General features: G+C 36.2%; 1 annotated feature.

The window, feature by feature from the left end:
- Positions 1,829 to 2,390: an enhancer, noted in NCBI's record as "NANOG hESC enhancer chr9:43452586-43453145 (GRCh37/hg19 assembly coordinates)". NCBI's record gives its function as "activates a minimal SCP1, AML or CMV promoter by ChIP-STARR-seq in primed H9 embryonic stem cells {active_cell/tissue: H9 hESC(primed)}" and the evidence as "EXISTENCE:reporter gene assay evidence [ECO:0000049][PMID:30033119]".

Here is a 2,598-nt window from a genome sequence, read left to right as displayed (position 1 = left end):
ACAAAAACACAAAGACTCACTTAATTTTTATCTCAGATAAAAAAGGAAAGTAGTTTGCTGAATTTGCCTTTCTACTAAGAAGTCTTTGCTTTCACTTGGTTGGGAGGGTACTTAACATGAAGAAGCAGGAATTCCTGGAAAACAGGCCCCTTCTACCCTAATGTGTTTTCTGTGGGGTCATTCAGTTATTGTCCCTAAGCAGAGGTAACTGGGAAATAGCCTTGGGCTGTAATTTTCCCATTTTACCTTAAGCAATATCATAACTAGCAAAGTGTGACACCCAGGAGGTTTGTTTTCTAGATAACACTCTCTTTACAATATAAGGGCTCTTTGAGAGAGTTAATATAATAAATCCTCAGAGTAAAGTCTAGGATACTCTTTAGAAATTAAATATTACTTGAAACATATGAAAGCCATTCAGCAGGTGACAGAGCTATTTACAAATAGATTAAACATCTTTCAAGTAAATTATTATAACATTCATTAATGTTGTTAGTGTTTATGCACTAAAACATAGCCCAAAATAACATATTTTATCCTCATATTGTAGCACAATTTATGTTACACTTGAACAAAAATCCCTCAATGTGCAGCTGATTTTAAATCCATCATCAGTTCTACTAGTCAAAAGTGGAGAATCTTTTTGCATTTGTACCTCTGGTAGCCAAAGTAATGTATCTTCTCTCCATGTTTCTTTATCCATTCATTAATGTGCTGTTTTCACATTGCTTCGTTTTGAAATTGTCCATGGCCCAGCTGAACCAAGCAGAAAGATTTCCCAGTCTGGTTGCATTGTATTTCACCTTCTGTTGTCAATTCCTTTGGTCTCCTAAGAATAAAATCCTTTGGTCTCATAAGAATAAAATGAGTTTTGTTTTCCTTTGAGCATGTAGAATATTTTTGGTTATTGTTCAAAAGTGAAGCCACAAATCAGAAAATGTTTTTCTTCTTCGTTTATTTGCTCCTCTAGCAATGTATATTTCATATATGTGAGCGCTTAGGTCTAAATTTCAGGTCTACATTCGGCACAGCATCTTCATGGACAGCTAATGAGATTGCAGATGGTAAAGCAGAACATGTGTGGTCCTGGGATAAACTACTCCAAATATCTTATTAAACCCTTAACCCTCCCCTCTCTCACAGGCCTCCTTTGCATAAACATTTTATATTACATTTTTATAAAGACATAGATGAATACCTCCACTGTAATTTTTCTTAAAATTTAGCACGATTATCTCCTTTGAAGAATAGAATGGTCCTTTAATCAACCAATTAAAATTGTATAACCCACCAGAAGAATTCATATATTATGTTTAATAATTAGTCACAAACCATATGTCTGGGACTATTTAATATTGACTTTAGCTCCATGTATATTATTTCCATCTACTTTTTTATTTTAGTAGGTTAATAGTATGAGTATGAATATATTAATTTCTAAATGGAAAGAGATGTACTTTATTAAGCTTTGGATTGTCAAGGAGAGCAATGGTTAAATATGACTAAGGTCCATTTATATTTAACTCTGCTATTTTTTTCTGGAATTGACAGTATAGGTGAATGCATGCTCGTATTGTACTTTCTCCTTTGAAATAATGAAGAAGCCAGACAAAAGGATTATTGCTCACAGAAGAGAATAGAAAAAAGGAAGAGAACCAGGGAAAGAAGGACCCAATCCACTTTCTCTAAAATTATTCATGTTTGAGACAATGACTGATTTCATGAGTATCTTCTTACCTCTCTATGTCTTTTTATGGCATATTTTAAGGTTGATTTTTGAACTGCCTTTATAAATGTTTTCTAAGGTTTCAATGAAGGTAAATATGCCTTTGCAAACTATTTCTCAGGCTATGAACCATGAGTGTGTGGGTCAGTGAGTGGCAATGATGACATGCCACACTTGTGGAGAAATAAATGATGAAAGGTTAAATGCTTTTTGCCTTAGATCAGGAAGAAGAGGTTGTTCACTTGTTTAGAATGAACTCTCTGAGTTTCTTTATCTGCTCAGCTTGTAGCCATTGTTTCTGCAGCCACCAGAGACCCAGACAGAAGCACAGCAGCAGGAGATCCACTTGCATGGGTCAGATTGCAGATGTGGCTTCAATGACATGACCACAGTGTGAAAGTTCCCTGGAGGGCACACAGCATGCTTAGAAAACACACACACACACACGGAGGTCATTGCCTTTATTGGGTCCAGGGCATTATATAAACAGGGAGCTTTAAATTGATGGGCTTAAAGCAAGCAGGCACTAGTACTAGGAAGTCACATTGTGACTGAAAAGTGTTTAAATGGTCGTTTAGAGGAAGCAGCAGGAAAGCTGGGAGCCCATCCTGCTAGGAGACAGAGATGCCTCCAGGTTTTTATTTCTGGTCACCACCTGGAGCCATTTGGGGGTATAGTGCAGGAAACTGCATCAAGGGTGACTGAACCCTGCTTCTGGTTTGAGAAAGTTAAACACATATTTAAAAATGGATGCTAAGGCAACATAAAACTTTAAGCGCTCACTGCAGCACATTTACCTCTTTTATTTACCATTGTATTGGAGGTTCTAGCCAAGATAAGATAATTAAACGAATAATAAAGTAAAGTCATTC

The sequence above is a fragment of the Homo sapiens genome, chromosome 9, assembly GCF_000001405.40.
Source record: "Homo sapiens chromosome 9, GRCh38.p14 Primary Assembly".
In the NCBI taxonomy this organism is placed as follows: Eukaryota; Metazoa; Chordata; class Mammalia; order Primates; family Hominidae; genus Homo; species Homo sapiens.
The sequence above is the reverse complement of the archived record's forward strand: the minus strand, read 5'-3'. Positions and strand labels throughout refer to the sequence as shown.